Source organism: Homo sapiens, chromosome 14, assembly GCF_000001405.40.
Source record: "Homo sapiens chromosome 14, GRCh38.p14 Primary Assembly".
In the NCBI taxonomy this organism is placed as follows: domain Eukaryota; kingdom Metazoa; phylum Chordata; class Mammalia; order Primates; family Hominidae; genus Homo; species Homo sapiens.
Window position 1 is genome coordinate 35,393,175 of NC_000014.9, and position 19,341 is coordinate 35,412,515.

At 49.0% G+C, this 19,341-nt stretch overlaps 1 protein-coding gene across 1 annotated transcript, besides 8 other annotated features; it reads right to left on the minus strand.

Annotated features, from left to right (window-relative positions):
- On the minus strand, positions 8,339–11,575 carry NFKBIA (NFKB inhibitor alpha). The gene is made up of 6 exons (NM_020529.3): positions 11,244–11,575; positions 10,516–10,624; positions 9,976–10,186; positions 9,597–9,685; positions 9,220–9,489; positions 8,339–8,886 (listed from the first exon to the last, which is right to left on the minus strand). Exons 1-6 carry the CDS (start codon positions 11,468–11,470, stop codon positions 8,839–8,841), a joined length of 954 nt encoding a protein of 317 aa, NP_065390.1. The 5' UTR covers positions 11,471–11,575; the 3' UTR covers positions 8,339–8,838.
- Positions 8,943–9,816: an enhancer, noted in NCBI's record as "H3K4me1 hESC enhancer chr14:35871323-35872196 (GRCh37/hg19 assembly coordinates)". NCBI's record gives its function as "activates a minimal SCP1, AML or CMV promoter by ChIP-STARR-seq in primed H9 embryonic stem cells {active_cell/tissue: H9 hESC(primed)}" and the evidence as "EXISTENCE:reporter gene assay evidence [ECO:0000049][PMID:30033119]".
- Positions 10,067–10,376: an enhancer, noted in NCBI's record as "active region_8276". NCBI's record gives its function as "activates an Ori minimal core promoter by ATAC-STARR-seq in GM12878 lymphoblastoid cells {active_cell/tissue: GM12878}" and the evidence as "EXISTENCE:reporter gene assay evidence [ECO:0000049][PMID:35858748]".
- Positions 10,407–10,456: an enhancer, noted in NCBI's record as "active region_8277". NCBI's record gives its function as "activates an Ori minimal core promoter by ATAC-STARR-seq in GM12878 lymphoblastoid cells {active_cell/tissue: GM12878}" and the evidence as "EXISTENCE:reporter gene assay evidence [ECO:0000049][PMID:35858748]".
- Positions 10,657–11,246: a silencer, noted in NCBI's record as "silent region_5675". NCBI's record gives its function as "represses an Ori minimal core promoter by ATAC-STARR-seq in GM12878 lymphoblastoid cells {active_cell/tissue: GM12878}" and the evidence as "EXISTENCE:reporter gene assay evidence [ECO:0000049][PMID:35858748]".
- Positions 11,397–11,566: a silencer, noted in NCBI's record as "silent region_5676". NCBI's record gives its function as "represses an Ori minimal core promoter by ATAC-STARR-seq in GM12878 lymphoblastoid cells {active_cell/tissue: GM12878}" and the evidence as "EXISTENCE:reporter gene assay evidence [ECO:0000049][PMID:35858748]".
- Positions 11,561–12,432: an enhancer, noted in NCBI's record as "H3K27ac hESC enhancer chr14:35873941-35874812 (GRCh37/hg19 assembly coordinates)". NCBI's record gives its function as "activates a minimal SCP1, AML or CMV promoter by ChIP-STARR-seq in naive H9 embryonic stem cells {active_cell/tissue: H9 hESC(naive)}" and the evidence as "EXISTENCE:reporter gene assay evidence [ECO:0000049][PMID:30033119]".
- Positions 11,637–12,036: an enhancer, noted in NCBI's record as "active region_8278". NCBI's record gives its function as "activates an Ori minimal core promoter by ATAC-STARR-seq in GM12878 lymphoblastoid cells {active_cell/tissue: GM12878}" and the evidence as "EXISTENCE:reporter gene assay evidence [ECO:0000049][PMID:35858748]".
- Positions 14,014–14,073: an enhancer, noted in NCBI's record as "active region_8279". NCBI's record gives its function as "activates an Ori minimal core promoter by ATAC-STARR-seq in GM12878 lymphoblastoid cells {active_cell/tissue: GM12878}" and the evidence as "EXISTENCE:reporter gene assay evidence [ECO:0000049][PMID:35858748]".

Genomic DNA, 19,341 nt, shown 5'->3' on the forward strand with positions numbered 1-19,341 from the left:
AGGTTTGAGTCCCAGAATGGCCACTTTTCTTGGTTTCATCACCTCAGACAAGTTACCAAGCCTCTTTGAACCTTGGTTTCCTCAATAATGTCCCCCTGTGATGATCACATATGCCTGGCATATAGTCATTGTTTCATAAATGACACCTACTACCATTATTATTCACCCATAGCTGGATTAGCTGGGTCCTCTGCAGTGTGAATTATAGTGTGATGGGATTGGAGCTAAGGCTCGTCAGTGATAGGTGAGATTCTAAAACAGGTAAGGCTTGTTTTTTTGTTTGTTTGTTTTTTGAGACCGAGTCTCGCTCTGTCGCCCAGGCTGGAGTGCAGTGGTGGATCTCAGCTCACCGCAACCTCCGCCTCCTGGGTTCAAGCGATTCTCCTGCCTCAGCCTCCCAAGTGGCGGGGATTACAGGCGCCCGCCACCAAGCCCAGCTAATTTGTTGTCTTTTTTTAAGTAGAGACGGGGTTTCACCGTGTTAGCCAGGATGGTTTCGATCTCCTGACCTTGTGATCCGCCTGCCTCGCCCTCCCAAAGCACTGGGATTACAGGCGTGAGCCACCCAGACTGGCCCGAGGCTTGTTTTTTAATGCACCCCTCCTCCATGCTCCCTGTCCTGCTTAGCAGACCTCCAACATTGTCGTGGGTCCATTTCCTGAATTTTTAACTTTTTAAATGTGTTGAAAGATACTTGACATGTGTCCTAGCCCTCAGGTCTTTAGGCCTAATGACTAGTCAGATTGAGGCAGAAACTATCCCCTTCCACCTCCAAGTTTATTGTCTGCATTAACATGACTTTTTTTCTCCCACTGTCTTTGGTACAATAACTTTACTATTCCAAGAGTCTCTTGCCCAGGCAAATAACTTCATTGTTTATTACAGGAATTTCCCAAGAGGCCCATCAACTCTTCAATAGGCGAGCTTTATTTAATAGAAGCATCAACAGACATTTCACACCTAAGACATTTCAAACCCCTCGCCTAGCTGTTGCCACCAACCTGAAACTACTGTATCATTATCTCCCCCAATCCCAAGCAAGCCCCTGCATTGAAAGGCCCTCCTTAAACCAATCTTGAAATTCTCAGTGAGATCCTAGCCTCTCCACTTCCCCTGGCAGCCGCGATGGAGGCTCTGTGCAGGGGCTATTCTCTCCCCTCCATAAGCAATGAACTCAGCTCTGCCTTCCACCATCTTCCCAGAACAGAAATTCTGGTGCGCTCCTTCCAGAAAGTCCTTTCGGTGTGACTGACCCAATCTGAGGAGCCGTGAAAGCCAGGAGGGGAGGTCCCAGGGCCAGGTTGGCTCTGGGTGTCCTTTCCATTCTTCCCTGTGTGTGGAGCTGGTCCCGCTGTGGGGACCATGGGTAGAGGGCAACGTGCACAAGAGCCCCTTGAGGACATCCTTGCTGCACACATTTCAGGCCTGGGAAGTTGTGCACACACAGACAGAACCCTTCATGGTCAGTCTGCTGGGGGTACTGTTATTCCCGGTTCTAGCCTCTAAGAAATGAAAGCTTCCACTCCCGTTTGACTTGTAGATTGCAGGATATTTGTGTGTCCAAGGCTTGAGTCTCTCTTTCAAACCAGAGGTTTACTCTGTGTTTTGAGAAAAGAATGACTGAATTTATGTACACGGAAGAGTCTATAGAGCCAGCTGTCCAGTAGCTAGGAAACATACAGTGGGCCACGTGGCAAGGTCCTGCCTTGGGAAATTGCCTCTCAATGACGGAGGTGGGAAGGCCTGCGAAGGAGAATGTTAAAAATCAACTTGAAACTAAGTTGGTATTAAAACACTTCACCTGAAAGAAGTTCATTCATTGATCCTTAAAAAGTTGCATTTGCGGCTGGGCGCGGTAGCTCACGCCTGTAATCCCAGCACTTTGGGAGGCCGAGGCAGGCAGATCACAAGGTCAGGAGATCGAGACCATCCTGGCGAATATGGTGACACCCCACCTCTCCTAAAAATACAAAAAAAAATTAGCCGGGTGTGGTGGCGGGCACCTGTAGTCCCAGCTACTCGGAATGGCGTGAACCCGGGAGATGGAACTTGCAGTGAGCAGAGATAGCGCCACCGCACTCTAGCCTGGGCGACAGAGCAAGACTCCGTCTCAAAAAAAAAAAAAAAAAAAAAAAAAAAAGTTGCATTTGCTTGTTTGTTTGGGGCATCCCCAGAGATGAATATTAAAATACTGTTAAGTTTTTAAAAGTCTGACCAAAATGTTTAATGTGGTGACTTTGGGTAGACCTGAGCCTCGGTGAGAACCAAACCCAGACCACACAACTGGAAACTCCTGGAAGTAGACGCGCCTCACTTCCTTAATTTAGCACCTTATGAAACAATAGTAAAGATTTCAGCCGGGCGCGGTGGCTCAAGTCTGTAATCCCAGTACTTTGGGAGGCCGAGGCGGGCGGATCACGAGGTTAGGAGATCGAAACCATCCTGGCTAACACGGCGAAACCTGGTGTCTACTAAAAATACAAAAAATTAGCCTGGTGTGGTGGTGGGCACCTGTAGTCCCAGCAATTCCGGAGGCTGAGGCAGGAGAAGGGCGTGAACCCAGGAGGCGGAGTTTGCAGTGAGCCGAGATCGCTCCGCTGCACTCCAGGCTGGGCGACAGAGTGAGACTCTGTCTCAAAAAAAAAAAAAAAGATTTCAGAGAAGATGAAGTAGGATACCTGTCTGAGTCCCACAGGATTGTTCAGTTTACTGGGGTCTCCTGAGGTCTCAGAACTTGCATTTTCTGCATTATTATATAGTTTCCATGAGACAGTATTTCCATTAACATAAAACATCAGAAATTCAAACCATCCTTTGTAATATTTGCCCAGTTTTGGTAGTATAGCAACAGATACATAAGGAACATATTGACGATTGATGACCTGAAAACACTTTTGTTAATTCCTGTGTGTGCTTGGTAGCTGCTGCTTTTTTTTTTTTTTTTTTTTCCCTGACTGGGCTTTGCTCTGTTGCCCGGGCTGGCACCATCTTGGCTCACTGCAACCTCCACCTCCTGGGCTCAAGCAATCTTACCGCCTCAGCCTCCTGAGTAGCTGGTGTCAGGCCTCTGAGCCCAGGCCAGGCCGTCGCATCCCCTGTGACTTGCACGTATACATCCAGATGGCCTGAAGTAACTGAAGATCCACAAAAGAAGTAAAAACAGCCTCAACTGATGACATTCCACCATTGTGATTTGTTCCTGCCCCACCCTAACTGATCAATGTACTTTGTAATCTCCCCCACCCTTAAGAAGGTACTTTGTAGTCTCCCCCACCCTTAAGAAGGTTCTTTGTAATTCTCCCCACCCTTGAGAATGTACTTTGTGAGATCCACCCCTGCCCACCAGAGAACAACCCCCTTTGACTGTAATTTTCCATTACCTTCCCAAATCCTATAAAACGGCCCCACCCCTATCTCCCTTCGCTGACTCTCTTTTCGGACTCAGCCCGCCTGCACCCAGGTGAAATAAACAGCCATTTTGCTCACACAAAGCCTGTTTGGTGGTCTCTTCACACGGACGTGCATGAAAGCTGGGACTGCAGGTGCGCACCACCACTCCCAGCTAATTTTTTGTATTTTTGCAGAGATGGGGTTTCACTGTGTTGTCCAGGCTGGTCTCGAACTCCTGGGCTCAAGCAGTCTGCACACCTCAGACTTCCAAAGTGCTCGGATAACAGGAGTGAGCCAGTGTGCCTGGCCTGGAAGCTGCTTTATCCCCAGGTTAGGAATATATACCTAGAGCCTGGCTCTGCCATTTACTGGCTGTGTGACCCAGGCTGACTTTCTTTCTTTCTTTCTTTTTTGTTTTTTGAGACAGAGTTTCACTCTTGTTGCCCAGGCTGGAGTGCAATGGCACGATCTCCACTCACTGCAACCTCTGCCTTCTGGATTCAAGTGATTCTCCTGCCTCAGTCTCCCAAGTAGCTGGGATTACAGGCACGTACCACCAGGCCTGGCTACTTTTTGTATTTTTAGTAGAGATGGGGTTTCACCATGTTGGCCAGGCTGATCTCAAACTCCTGACCTCTGGTGATCCGCCTGTCTCAGCCTCCCAAAGTGCTGGGATTACAGGTGTGAGCCACCGTGCCTGGCCTTAATGTATTTTTTTTTGTAGAGATGGGCTCTCCCTATATTTCCCAGGCTGGTCTTGACCTCCTGGGCTCAAATGATCCTCCTGCCTCAGCTTCTCAAAGTGCTGGGATTATAGGCATGAGCCCCCGCACCTGGTCACACTTACCTGGATTGCTGGCCGGTTTGTGGGCCTTGGCCCTATTTTCATGTCAGTGTTCAGAGTCCAGTCCTACTTGTCAATGACTCAGATTGGCTGATGCTGGGTCATACTTCCTGCCCCCTGTGAAAAGGGTGCCTGCCACAGTCACTTGGGGCATGGGATAAGATAATATAGTACTGGCAGGTAAATAGCTAACTGGAATATGAGCTCGGGTCCCGTCTCTCCCACCTGCACTCCGCGCTGGTGCCTGGGCTCAGCTCCCGTGCTATGGGCTTTCATCTCATCACGCCTTTCCATGCAGTTGTCTGTCTCCCTCTCCACCTAAGCAAGGAGCTCTTAGGGGCAGAGGCCATGACTTATTCCTCTTATTCCTGCCCTTGGCAGGAGGCCTGGAGAATAGTTCTTTTTGATGCAAATGAAGGAATGGGTTGGAGAGTCGTACTTCTCTAGGAGGGAAACACAGGTGAGGTCCAGTTTCAGTTTCTGTAATGCTCTCTTTCAATGGGGAAACAGCCTAGGATATTCTTGTCCAGGCACCAGAGGTTGGGGAATGTTTCTTGGGCATGTTTCAGACTGGAGTTCCACAACTCAGACTTTTCTTGCCAAATGAAATTTCAGCTACACTTAAGGCAAGTTAATGAAAATCTGGCAGAAAGCTGGGGGTGGGGGAGTGGGTGGGTACGGGGGTGGGAAGTCTTGGGGAAGGAAGACCCATCTGACAGACTCAATTCTGTCACCACTTAATCACTTCCAGTAGCAACTGAACTTTCCATGCAAATCCACCCAAGCTCCCAGCCTTCTGAATTTCCAGGCCCCAGGGGAAGGTCTTCAGATTGCTCAGACTAGTTTGTTCCCTCTTTAAAGAAAAATCCTTACTTTCTGGAAGGACTTGGTACACGTGGCCGCTACAGGAAATGTATCCTGATGGATAAGGCAGGCAGAAGGAATCAAGGAACTGAATTCAAGGAAGTTGCTGATGTGATATATTATTTCCCCCTCATATCACTTCCCCTTTCTCTAGGCACTCTTAGTCCTACCTGTCCCCACACAATCTGTAACTTCTTGGAGGAAATCAAAGTGCATTAAAGAAGACTCTCCGTCTGCTGGCCTGTTTACTTTGAGATCTTTTGCTCTTGTTTGCTTAGGAATTTGAAGATTTTCTACAGATTAGAATGTTTCCCTTCTAAAATTTTCCTTTAGGGAACTCCAGGCTCCAGTCACCCAACCAACAGGCAGGACAGAAAGATAATAAATTTAAAACAAAAAGAAAAGAAAAGCAGGGAGGGCTGGGTGTGGTGGGTCACACCTGTAATCCCAGGACTGTGGGAGGCCAAGGCAGGTGGATCACTTGAGGTCAGGAGTTCGAGACCAGCCTGGCCAACACGGCGAAACCCCATCTCCACTAAAAATATAAAAATTAGCCGGGTGTAGTGGTGTGCACCTGTAGTCCCAGCTACTCGGGAGGCTGAGGCAGGAGAATTGCTTGAACCCAGGAGGCGGAGGTTACAGTGAGCCGAGATCATGCCACTGCACTCCAGCCTGGGCAAGAGAGTGAGACCCTATCACACACACACAAAAAAAAGGTGGGGGGGGGGATGAGAAATGGGGAGAAGAGCTAGAGAGTAAGGAACCGGGGCAGCCTTCAGTGCTTAACTGGGCCCAGCTACCTCGAGATTTATGCAGATGACAGAACCTTTTCCAAGGTTTAGGACCTAGAAAGAAGAAAAGCTGAAGCCTAGAAAGGTGGGAGACTGGGCCCAAGTGGGTGAGAAGGGGCCCACCCTTGCTTGACCATGGAGGGTGACGCCCCTATGCAAGAGCTGGGCTCTAAGGAGGCTGGGGATGAGGGGGTGGCGCACAGCTTTGTCCTGTTTCTACAACCTAGCACAGAACTAGAGACAGCGTATGGGTGAATTGGCACAAATTTAACCCCTTTACAGAGGGAAGAAGAGTCACATTTGACTGAGTAGAAAGTACTAAGGGCATCGTTCCAAAATTGGGGAGCCAAGTTTCCAACCTTTGTTCTTTTGAGAATGAGGGTGGGGATATCACCCCACTCCCATCTTACCTCTCCCACTTAGCTGAGAGCTGAACCTAACTGACCTAATTCCTGTGGTAGGTCATTTAACACCTGTGTTGAGGTGCTTGGGGATGGACAAGGAATTTCAGGGAAGAACCCGGGCACTTTGACAGAGAATAAGACTGGTAGAGGGACCGCCAGTGCTGGGTTCCGGATGGACTAAGGCTACAGAAATGGAGCAGAGCTGGGCGCGGTGACTCACGCCTGAAATTCCAGCACTTTGGGAGGCTGAGGTGGGCAGATCACCTGAGGTCAGGAGTTCAAGACCAGCCTGGGCAACATGGTGAAACCCTGTCTCTACTAAAAATATAAAAATTAGCCAGGCGTGGTGGCAGGCACCTGTAATCCCAGCTACTCGGGAGGCTGAGGCACAGAGAATCGCTAGAACCCGGGAGGTGGAGGTTGCAGTGAGCTGAGATCATGCCACTGTACTCCAGCCTGGGCGACAGAGCAAGACTCCATCTCAAAAAAAAAAAAAAAAAAAAAAAAAGAAAGAGAAAGAATTGGGGCAGAATTGGCTTTAACCAGTCTGTAGTAACACTCCTTATATGTGGAAGACCACTAAATACTGGCTCCTTTTTGGTCCAAGGTGACCATATTCTTTTGACTTTGACATCGTTTGTGGATCAGGAAAGGGATAATGTAATAATTTTTTCTTAGGTATAAGTCAAAGACATGAATTGCATTTATACACTACTCTGCATTTTCTAGAATGCAATAACTTTACTTTTTCCTCAGAAATGTTTTGGCTGGGTGTGGTGGCTCAGACCTGTAATCCCAGTGCTTTGGGAGGCCATAGTGGGTGGATCTCTTGAGCCCAGGAGTTCCAGACCAGCCTGGGCAACATAGAGAAACCCTGTCTCTACAAATAAAATTAGTCAGGCATGGTGGTGCATGCTTGTAGTCCCAGCTACTCAGGAGGCTGAGTTGGGAGGATCGCTTGAGCCCAGGAGTTTGGGGCTGCAGTGAGCTGTGATTGCACAATTGCACCCCAGCCTGGGCAACAGAGTGAGACCCTATCCCCCAAAAATTTAATAAAAATGTTTACAGAGTACAAATGCAGATTTTTTATATTGTATAGCGGTAAAGTCTGGGCTTTCAGTATACCCATCTTTATTCTTCTCTCTACCTAGGCAAGAGAGCCATTTTAGGGATGAAAACCTCAAGATAGAGCATCTAAGCCAAGTTTCACATTACTGGTTTCTTGTGACATTTGCTCCTGTAGAATCGTCCAGTACAATCAGTAGACTGAACTGATAAGACCCTTCAAGCCTTTATTACTTTTCTACTACAGCCAATAACACATAGATTTAAGAGATGGAATGCTCTTAAAAGATGTTTACCCCAAAACGAGCACGTATGAAATATGTTAACCACCTATTTCTCCTGCAAGGTGACCCTAGACAGGACATTCTCTCTGGACTTGTTTCTCCTGGTATGACATAAAGAACGTTGCGTAACAGCTTGTTTTTCTTTAGCACTACGTGCCTGCCGCTCTGCTATGCATTTTACGTGGATTGTCTTATGTAATTTTCACAACAGCCCAGCTAATAAATGAGAAAACTGAGGCTCAGAGGTGAGCATCTGCTAACAAATGTCAGTGCAGTCCCATTTCTGAGCCTATGTCCTTAGGAACTTCCTGTATTAGTGAGATCTTTCCCAGCTCTATATGAATTCAGCATATTCTTCTTGGCCAAAATAATTTCCTCAACTGGCAATTAGGGTCCAGGAAGTTTAAATCAACGGGATGACAGAATGACAACGGAGAGGTCTCCAACCACAGGCCAAACAGCATGCTTCCACCCCAAGCCTGAGATTGGTAATTTCCTATAACCTTGCAACAGCCTCCCTCCCACACACTGGGCCCAGGGTGCCTGCAAAGCTTTGCTGGAGGCTGGGTGTCAGGTGTGAGAAGCTGCTGGGAGTTACCTCCTCCCTCACACTGCTCCACCTCCACCTCTGCCGGAGGATGGAACTTCAGAACCGGAGGCCCACGGCAGCCTGAAGAAAATGATCAGGATAACTCATTTGTAAAAATCTGTTTAATAAATATACATCATAAAAGTACCAAAATAATTACCAACAATACATTATGTACACCATTTACAGGAGGGTAACACAAACCTTGACAGGTAGTAACTTTTCACCCCACATCACTGAACGCTTAACACTCCTGGCTGTTACATGTCACAGGATACCACTGGGGTCAGTCACTCGAAGCACAATAAATATAAAATGTGGTCCTTCCATGAAATTTTTGATAACCTTCTCCAAAAACCCCACAAAGGTGAGGTTTAAAAGAAGTTTTCTCAGAATTTCAATGATCTTTCTCGTCCCCTACAAAAAGTTCACAAAAGCAACAAAATGAGGGCTGATCCTACCACAATAAGACGTTTTGGGCCAGGCAGTGTGCAGTGTGGATATAAGTACACCCTTTAAATTTTTTCTTCTTTTTTCTTTTTTTAGAAAAATAAAACTTTTTTTTTGTACAAATATACAAGTCCATGTTCTTTCAGCCCCTTTGCGCTCATAACGTCAGACGCTGGCCTCCAAACACACAGTCATCATAGGGCAGCTGAAAACAAGGGGAAAAAAGACACGTTAAGCTTCCGGAGCGGAGCTCTGCCAAGCTACCGGGATGGGGAGGCCACTACTGGAAATAACTCTTGGACTCCATTCTCCATAGCCCAAATATAATGAACTTTACAGGCTGAGAGAGTTTGCCTTTAATGCTTCTCTTTAAAAAAAGAGGGGGGGCAGGTACATTCTTGGGATACTGGTTATGCACAGAAATTTGAGAGACTCATTATGTAGATACCCCTCTGATAAGGAGCAGCTCTAGGGGCCTGGGAGGGTGAAGGGAATGGCACCTCATTAGTTAGAGCGCCGAAGGAGTTCACAGACTCACCTCGTCCTCTGTGAACTCCGTGAACTCTGACTCTGTGTCATAGCTCTCCTCATCCTCACTCTCTGGCAGCATCTGAAGGTTTTCTAGTGTCAGCTGGCCCAGCTGCTGCTGTATCCGGGTGCTTGGGCGGCCCCAGGTGAGCTGGTAGGGAGAATAGCCCTGGTAGGTAACTCTGTTGACATCAGCCCCACACTTCAACAGGAGTGACACCAGGTCAGGATTTTGCAGGTCCACTGCGAGGTGAAGGGCAGTCCGGCCATTACAGGGCTCCTGAAACCAAAAGGAATTTGAGATGCTTATGGCTGCATTTGGAATTTCTGCTCACAACATAAGCACGAGGAGCCTGACTCAGTGCGTCGGGGGCAGGAAGCACCAACCTGAGCATTGACATCAGCACCCAAGGACACCAAAAGCTCCACGATGCCCAGGTAGCCATGGATAGAGGCTAAGTGTAGACACGTGTGGCCTGGAAGAACAAAAGGAAAAAAGTATAACCACCTGTTTCAACCCTCACTCCTTTCACCTATTCTTTTATGGAACAAGTAGTCTTATCTTCTGAATTTTAAGAACCCACAGTCTGGGTTCTGAAAGAACTTTATAAAGGCATCCAATAGGCACTTTGCACACATATTTTCTCAACCTTCCAAATGTTAGGAGTTTAAGCTCTTGCCTGGACTCCTTAAGTTGGCCCACCTGCCCCTTCTCCACGTCACCTGCCCTCCGAGGGGGTGGGGCAGGGCAGGGAGGCAGACATACCATTGTAGTTGGTAGCCTTCAGGATGGAGTGGAGGTGCGGGGTGGTGCAGGACTGAGTCAGGACTCCCACGCTGGCCAGGCAGCCCTGCTCACAGGCAAGGTGTAGGGGGGTATTTCCTCGAAAGTCTCGGAGCTCAGGATCACAGCCAGCTCCCAGAAGTGCCTCAGCAATTTCTGGCTGGTTGGTGATCACAGCCAAGTGGAGTGGAGTCTACGAATGCAAGAGAGACCAGAGAAAGTAAGCCATGGACCAAACCCACACCCCGAGTTCCCCTCAACCCGTGTCTCCTGGTTGGGTGCTGCTCCTCCTAGACAGGGGGGTGGGGAGGGCTGGCAAATAGCAGAGGCTCCAGGTGGGTCATAAAGACCTCACCAAATCAGTGGAATTTCCTTCACTCTCTAGGATGTGGGCTGATGTGAAGTAAAAGGTGAGGGTAAATAGTGCTCAGTGGCCCTGAATTCAGAAAGGATCTGGGGTGACTCTGCTACATCAGCTACGTCCCAGGGTCAGAGAGAACCCGGGCCAGGCAAGCGGCGCACCTGCTGCAGGTTGTTCTGGAAGTTGAGGAAGGCCAGGTCTCCCTTCACCTGGCGGATCACTTCCATGGTCAGTGCCTTTTCTTCATGGATGATGGCCAAGTGCAGGAACCTGTGGGGAAGAGAGGGAAAAACCCCAGGGGTGGTGAGTGCACCGCGTGGGGCCCAGGGAGGCGCGGGCTGCGGGGGATTGCGCAAGGCCGGGGTTTCTGGAGGCCGAGGCCGCGGTGTTTTCCGCGAGGTTATTATGAGCTGAGTGTTCCTGGCAGGCGCCCAGGGACTTTCCGCCCCCCTCCCCCCGCGGCCCCGGCGGGCGCCGGCCAGACCGCCCCGCCCTCCCGCCAGCTCGGAACGCCCTGTACTTCCCCTCCCGGCTGCTCGGCGCCCGCCAGCGGCCAGAAACTCCCGCCCCGCCTTATGCAACCGGGGACTTCGCGTCCCCGCTGCCGCCCCGCCCCCGGCCTAGAGGACGGGTCTGGGGGGAGGGGGCGTGTGGCGACGCTGCCATCCACCAGGGCCCAGCCGCCGCCCCTCCGAGTTGGGCCGGTGCCCCGCGCGGCCCTGCAGCCCTGCAGCGTTCGGGGCGGTGCAGGAGCCCCGGGGTGCCGCGGCGCCCGCCCGGCTGCATCGCTGGTCCCCCGGCTCGGGCTCCAGGCCCGGCGCCTCCCACCCCCAGGCCGCGCGCGTCCCGCCCTCCCGACGACCCCCAGCCCCGGGCCTCCGCCACTTACGAGTCCCCGTCCTCGGTGAGCTGCTGCTTCCAGGGCTCCGAGCCGCGCGGCACCTCCTGCGGCTCGAGGCGGATCTCCTGCAGCTCCTTGACCATCTGCTCGTACTCCTCGTCTTTCATGGAGTCCAGGCCGCTGTCGTGGCGGTCGTCCAGTAGCCGCTCCTTCTTCAGCCCGTCGCGGGGGCCCTCCATGGCCCACTCCTGGGGGCGCTCGGCCGCCTGGAACATGGCGCGGACGAGCTGCGGGCGCTGCTGCGGGTGCGCTGGGCCGCGGGCTGCGCGCTGCTTCCTCGCTGGGGCGCTGGCGGGCGGGACGGCGGCACGGACTGCTGTGGGCTCTGCAGCGCCGCCGCGGCGCCCTATAAACGCTGGCTGGGGATTTCTCTGGGGCGGGGTCAGGCTCGGGGAATTTCCAAGCCAGTCAGACCAGAAAAAGAGAACTGGCTTCGTCCTCTGCTAGGGGGAAAAAGAAGCCTAAACCCTGAGCTGGGGTTCATCGGAGAAACTCCCTGCGATGAGCCACTAGGGTCACGGACAGGGAACTTTTTGATGAGCGCCGAGTGGCTGGAAAGTCCTTCCGACCAGGCCCCCTCCCCCCGGTACTTCCCTGCAGCCTGCACCCTGTAATCCTGTCCCTCTGCAAGTGAGCCTTCTTTCCCTGGGGTTTCCCACGATCGATTTGAATTGGGGTCGTCGGCTGCTGAGATCCCAAGGACGCCGACCTGATGGGCGGTCCCTCTTTGGGGTTTGCCAACCTGCCGGTCCTTTCCGTTTTTTGATCTTTTGAAAACGCAAGAGTGGAAATGATGGCTGGGCGTAGGGATTTGCTTTCCCCAGACTTCTAAGGGGAAGGACGCACTGTGGTTAGGGGGCTGCAGGCCGCGCCGGTGTTTCTGCCTATACCAGGCTCTTTGCAGCAAAGGAACTTTTAGCTTCGCCCCCACCCCCCCACGCACCCCCGCCAGGTAGAAGTTGTGAAAGCTTTGGAGGAGTGAAAAGCCTAAATCCTTGGAGAACTCTCAAATCACTTCCTAGGGATGAACAGCCCTGTTGACTGGGGGAGGGGCAAACGCTCCCTGTATGGGGAAACTGCTGAATAGGACCATGATTTTTTTTGTTTCCCAAGTAAAGCAAGGTGTTAATGTTTGTAGTGGTGGTTGTGGATACCTTGCAATAGCAGAGTAGCTATTGTGTTCATAAGTAGCTATTCGTTTATGCTATCTGACCTACATTGTGCTCCCGCAGAAAAAGGATCGTGAGCCTACTTCTGGGCACCCAAATTCGAGGAGAACTTAGAGAAGGAGGCTGAAGAATGAGTTTAGTTAGTGCCTTAACCGCGATTGGACCTTAAGGACCACTAAGAAAGTAGTTGCCAGGCATCCTGCGGGAGGCTCAAGGTAGTCCCATCCTGCCCGCCCCTCCTTGCTCTCTTGTCCTGGGGGACAGTAGCAGTTGGACCCATTCACGCCACCTGGGTAGAAAGGGGTTTCGGCTCACTATGCTCTGGTTTCACCTGCAGAAATATAATTTATGCTCTCCACTCCACCTCCACCTCCAAGCCTGCAAGCCATGGACTGAATTCATCTACTTGGTAGAATTGGTACAGGCAAAATAAAGCAAACTTCGGTCAGAGCTCTTCAGAATTAGTCCCAGGAGGCCTCTGTAGTTCTGCAGAGATTTCTGGTGATTATTGCAATCATCTTTACCTTGACTGGCCTTGTACTAACCAATCCTTCCCCTCTCTTCGTATCTCCACCCCTCCCCTAATATTAGAATGAAAGAAATCTGACTCGATAGAGAGAGACCAAGTATGAAGGGAAAAAAATTAAAATCAGATAGACCCTCCAGGGTAATAATGATCACATGTTACAATGAAAACTTCCCAGGGATAGACACCATTGTCTCTGCAGGTTTATGATATGCAAATCTACAATGATTGAGGCAAGGTGAAACAGTGACTGCAATGGGACATCTCAATTCCAGGTTCTATCTTTACTTGACTGCACATTAGTTGGAGAGGTCAGTTAACTTTTTTGTGGTATACTTAACTTTTATAATAAGATTAGATTGAATGTTACTTAAGGTCTTTTCTAGCTTAAAAGTCATATTGCTTGTCTACAAATGCATGCCTAACTCTCCTTTGTAAGGGTGACCATGGCTCTTGGAAATGTCAGGGTATAAATTTTTGAAAGAATTCCAGCGCCTTATGTACCACATTGTTCTCAGAACTAATCTTGTAAGATAGATATTGTTCCTACTTCCCTAAAAAGAAACTGAAATGCATAGAAATTTACCCAGGAACCCCTTGGCAGTATATTAATCATTTGGCCAAAGCAGTCTTAGTATTAACACTTTTGAAAACACGCTGTGAAAATCAGACTGACTACACTATAATTTGGAATGTACTCAAAAGTATTTTCTACTCCAACTGTTAGGGAAAATAAAGGGTGGGTGTCCCCTGACCCCCATCTGGGGATAGTCACTTCTTTTAAACAAGTACAGAAACATCAAACTCTAAATGTCCCAATTATAGAGGATACATCAGAAGAAGATATTTGGCTTCAGGTATAAAAATGGTTATAAAAAATAAAAATATCTGAGGAATAAGGTTTTTTTGCACCACCTTCTATGGTTTTATATTTCTGGTAGCCTTCAGGATCTTGGTGTTTATTCCTGATTGTTTTGTGTGACACCTAGTGGTAAGAGTAAGGCACAGGCGTTCCTTGATTTGTCATAGTGCCTTTTGCAAAAATTGGGAGGTGCTGAGCCTTGATGACTTGTCCCTACAGTGGAGATTTCCAAGGAGGTACCTATTGTTTTCCTGCGACTCTGGGAAACAGTTTTGAATAATGTGATCCAACAGGTTTTCTCCCCATCATCTATAGCGCTATATGGTTTAAGTCAACAAACATTACAACGTGGGTGAAAAAGAATATACACTTGGAAATTAGAACCATGAGCAGACTGGGCAGAAGACAACAAGAGGGTCTGGTTTTGATTTAGAAAGACCTTTATGGGCCAGGAGTTGTGGCTCACTGCTGTAATTTCAGCACTTTGGGTTGCTGAGGCAGGAGGATTGCTTGCCACCCAGGAGTTGGAGACCAGCCTGGGCAACAAGGCTAAACTCTTGTCTCTACAAAAAATATAATTAGCAGAGTGTGGTGGCAGGTGCCTGTAGTCCCAGCTACTCCAGAGGCAGAAGTGGGAGAATTGCTTGAGCCTGGGAGGTGGAGTTTGTAGTGAGCCATGATGGCACAACTGCACTCCAGCTTGAGCAACAGACTGAGACCCTGTCTCAAAAAGAAAAAAAAGAAAAAGAAAGACCTTTATGGACCCTTCAGCACTCAGATTTTTCTCCTCCTCATTGTCAAACATTCTAGCTAACATAACCGTTAAAAAAAATGTTAAAACTGTAGGCTGTGCGCAGTGGCTCACGCCTATAATCTCAGCACTTTGGGAGGCTGAGGCAGGTGGATCATGAGGTCAGGAGTTCGAGACCAGCCTGGCCAACATGATGAAACCCCGTCTCTACTAAAGATACAAAAAATTAGTCGGGTGTGGTGGTGCAGATGCTGCTTAGGAGGCTGAGGCAGGAGAATCACTTGAACCGAGGAGGCAGAGGTTGCAGTGAGCCGAGATCGCGCCATTGCACGCCAGCCTGGGCAACAGGGTGAGACTCTGTCTCAAAAAACAAAACAAAACAAAACAAAATACTTTAGATAACTGATTTTTAATGTTATTTGGCCTTTTTAATGCATAAGGCAAAATAATAAGTTACACCTCAAAGCTGCTTTGTATTTTGGCCCAGGACGCAGCCGTAGGAAATGACAGGACGGCCAGTGATGCTCCAGGAGCACCCCCATGGGAAAAGGAGCATCGCCAGGGCCTGGTTTGGCTGCAGGCACTTCAGGCACTCCTCCTGCATGGAACAAGCACAGTATGGACAAAACCTATTGCCTGAAGTGCCATGGAGAGAGTCTACAAGTTCAGCCAGGTGGTCCAAAATCCTCAGGGCAGGGTGGCCTGTGTCAACTGGCCTGGCCAATTAAAACTAAATTGTTTTGGCTACAGCAAATTCAACTCTGGAATCAGGCTACCTATTGCTCAGTGCAGCTAGGCTGGAAGAAAGACGAGCCATGACAGAGTTCCTGAAGAGCAAGGCAGGTGCACTCCCAACTGGCAGCCCCACTGTGAAATTCTAAATATTCTGCTTTCAGTCTCAGGTTGTCTTCTTTCTTGCTATCGTGGTAGCAACTGTCTGCATCCTCTTCAGAACAGGGAGCCCCCAAGCTATGGATCTTTTCCCATAGAAAAACAAGGCTGGGGGCGGTGGCTCCGACCTATAATCCCAGCACTTTGGGAGGCTGAGGCGAGCTGATCACCTGAGGTCAGGAGTTCAAGACCAGCCCGGCCAACATGGTGAAACCCCATCTCTACTCAAAATACAAAAATTAGCCAGGCGTGATGGCACATGCCTGTAATCCCAGCTACTCGGGAGGCTGAGGCAGGAGAATCACTTGACCCTGGGAGGTGAAGGTTGCAGTGAGCTGAGATCGTGCCATTGCACTCCTGCCTGGGCAGCAGAGAGAGACTCTGTCTCAATTAAAAAAAAAAAAAAGGAAAAACAGCTGTCAGAACCTTCATTTGTAGTGAAGTGAAAATAAGACCGTCAAATCCTTAATGTGTTTCCTTTGCTACAAATTCTGCAATTTAATGGAGATCAAAGCTTTAAAGGATCTCAAACTCAAAATACTTACGCATAGGGAGCAGGCAGATTTCACAGATGAGTGAAACAGACCATTTGAGTCTGAAAGGAGTGGGATCTCCAACAGCTTAGGTCAGGGTGTGTACTTCCCTCATACTTAGCTCAGACAACTTTTGGCATGTAGCACCTTCAGTTCAGTAGTGACCTTCTATTGTTAAAGAAATAAAAAAAATTGGCCCAGCTCCGTGGCTCATGCCTGCAATCCCAACACTTTGAGAGGGTGAGGCAGGAGGATCACTTGCGTTTAGGAGTTTGAGACCAGCCTGGGCAACATAGTGAGACCCCATCGCTATAAAAATAAAAATAAAAAAATTAACCAGGTGTGGTGGCATACACCTGTAGTCGCACCTACTTGGGAGACTGAGGTGGGAGGATTGCTCGAACCTGGGACGTTGAGGCTACAGTGGGCCATGACTGTGTCACTGAGCTCCAGCCTCAGCAAAAGAGTGAGACCTTGCCTCAAACAAACATAAAAACATTATGAAAACTAAACACAATGCATTTCTGCATCTATTGGCTAAACAGAGCCTATAAGCTCTGAGTTTACAACCTCTTTTTCAGCCAAGGTATGATGTTTTAATTGTGCTTTGCAAGAGGCACAACCTTCTGCTCTTGGCATCATGGGTTCTCTGCTCCTGTGTAACAGGAGACTGGGACAGTGTGTCCATCCATGATGCGCAGGGCTGCTCCTGCCAGGCAGGGTTAGGATTAGGGGCTCTAACCTCTGAAAAGTGAATTTTTCCTCCCTCAAACCAAGTATTTATTTGTTTTGTTTGTTTGTTTTTGAGACAAACCAAGAGTTTTGCTCTTGTTGCCCAGGCTGGAGTGCAATGATGTGATCTTGGCTCACTGCAACCTCTGCCTCCCGGGTTCAAGTGATTCTCCTGCCTCAGCCTCCTGAGTAGCTGGGATTGCAGGCACCCGCCACCATGCCCGGCTCATTTTTTGTATTTTGGGTAGAGACAGGGTTTCACTATGTTGGCTAGGCTGGTCTCAAACTCCTGACCTCAGGTGATCTACCCGCCTTGGCCTCCCAAAGTGCTGGGATTACAGGTGTGAGCAACCATGCCCGGCCTGTTTGTGTTTTTGAGACAAGGTCTTGCTGTGTCACCTAGGCTGGAGTGCTGTGGCATGATCACAGCTCGCTGTAGCCTTAATCTCTTGGGCTCAAGCAATTCTCCCACCTCAGTCTCCCATGCAGTGGGACCACAGGCACATGCCACTGTGCCTGGCTAATTTTTTTTGAGACGGAATTTCATTCTTGTCACCCAGGCTGGAGTGCAATGGTGCAATCTTGGCTCACTGCAACCTCTGCCTACCAGGTTCAGACGATTCTCCTGCCTCAGCCCCCTAAGTAGCAGGGATTACAGGAGCCTGCCACCATGCCCAGCTAATTTTTTGTATTTTTAGTAGAGACAGGGTTTCACTGTGTTGACCAGGCTGGTCTCGAACTGTTTACCTCAAGTGATCTGCCTGCCTCGGCCTCCCAAAGTGCTGGGATTACAGGCATGAGCCACCACACCCGGCTGTGCCTGGCTAATTTTTTAATTTTTTGTAGAGATGGGTCTCCCTGTGTTGCCCAGGCTGGTTTTGAGCTCCTGGGTCCGAGCGATCCGCCCATCTTCACTTTCAAAAGTGCTGGGATTACAGGTGTGAGCCACTGCACCCTGCCCCAAAGCAATTTTTAAATGCTACAGTGTAAAATAAGCATAATAAGTCCAACAAAGTTCTGATTTTTCTCACAATGACTACTTACGTTGTTTTAAGCAATCAGATGACTTCACTAAACATCTCCTGAGGTGTGCCTGCTCTGCTGGTGCCCTAACTGCATGCCCATCTGGCTCTTGGGTAACCTGCTGCGAGGGAAGGAGGAGGCCTGCACGTGTCACCCGTGGCCAAAATTACTGGCTCTCCCTTTTCGTGGCTTGTTGGCAGTAACCAAGTAATATTTATAGGTGTGTAGCATTGTTCATGGTCTGTTGTGTTCAGGGAGAAGTTGTTGGATCAGGAAGGTGGTAAAGGCTTAAGGCAGTTTCCCCTGCATGCCGCTGTATTTGCTATTTTGTCTTGGGTGTAAATTCATTCTGAGTTTAGTCAGGGTATGAGGATACTTAGCACTAGGGAACTTCCACACAAGAGCCTGGTACTTGGCAGGGGATGAGACATAAATGATATGAGGCCCTTGTTCTTTGGCACTGAAATTAGGTGAGGAGCTCATGATCCTTCTCAGAGGGGGCCTAAGCTGTATCCACCAACGGAAACCACATGGAGAGGTAGATCCTTTCCCCCCTACGGTCTAAGGTCTTGGGAATCATTTAGGAAAAAGGAAAACAGAATCAGAGCTGCTAAGAGATAGATTCATATTACAGAGTAAGGATTTAGGAAGCTTGTTCCTGAGCCCTTTCTTGTAAGTGCTAAAATAATGCCTTTCTCAGACTTCCTTTTAGAGCCTCTATTATCTGGAGTAAAACACCGGAGTGCTTGGATGAGTATTAGAAATTGAGATTTGTCTCTGAGGCTATTAGTGGGGAACGGTACCACAAAAATATAGTTTCTGAAAGTTTTTCTTAGGTTGATTTTTTTTTTTTTTTTTTTTTGAGACAGGATCTCACCCTGTCACCCACGATGGCGTGCAGTAGCACGATTATTGCTCACTGAAGTCTTGACCTTCTGGGCCCAAGCAATCTTCCTGCCTTAGCCTCCCATGCAGCTGGGATTACAGACATGTGCTACCACACCTGGCTAATTTTTGTATTTTTAGTAGACATGGGGTTTCGCCATGTTCCTGGCCTCCAACTCCTGATCTCAGGTGATCCACCTGCCTCAGCTTCCCAAAGTGCTGGGATTATAGGCGTAAGCCACCACACCTAGCCTGGCCAGGTTTGTTTGTTTATTTATTTATTTATTTTGACACAGAGTCTCGCTCTGCTCCCCAGGCTAGAGTGCAGTGGTGTGATCTTGGCTCACTGCAACCTCCGCTTCCTGGGTTCCAGTGATTCTCATGTCTCAGCCTCCCTAGTAACTGGGACTACAGGCGCCTATCACCACGTCTAGCTTATTTTTGTATTATTTGTAGAGATGGGGGGTTTTGCCATGTTGGTCTTGAACTCCTGACCTCAAGTGATCCATCCACCTTGGCCTCCCAAAATCTGGGATTACAGGCGTGAGCCACCGTGCTCAGCCTATTTTTTTCTTTTCTTTTCTTTTTTTTTTTTTTTTTTTTTTTTTTTTTGAGATGTTGTCTCACTCTGTTGCCAAGCTGGAGTGCAGTGGCGTGATCTCGGCTCACTGCCATCTCCGCCTCCCAGGTTCAAGTGGCTCTCCTACTTCAGCC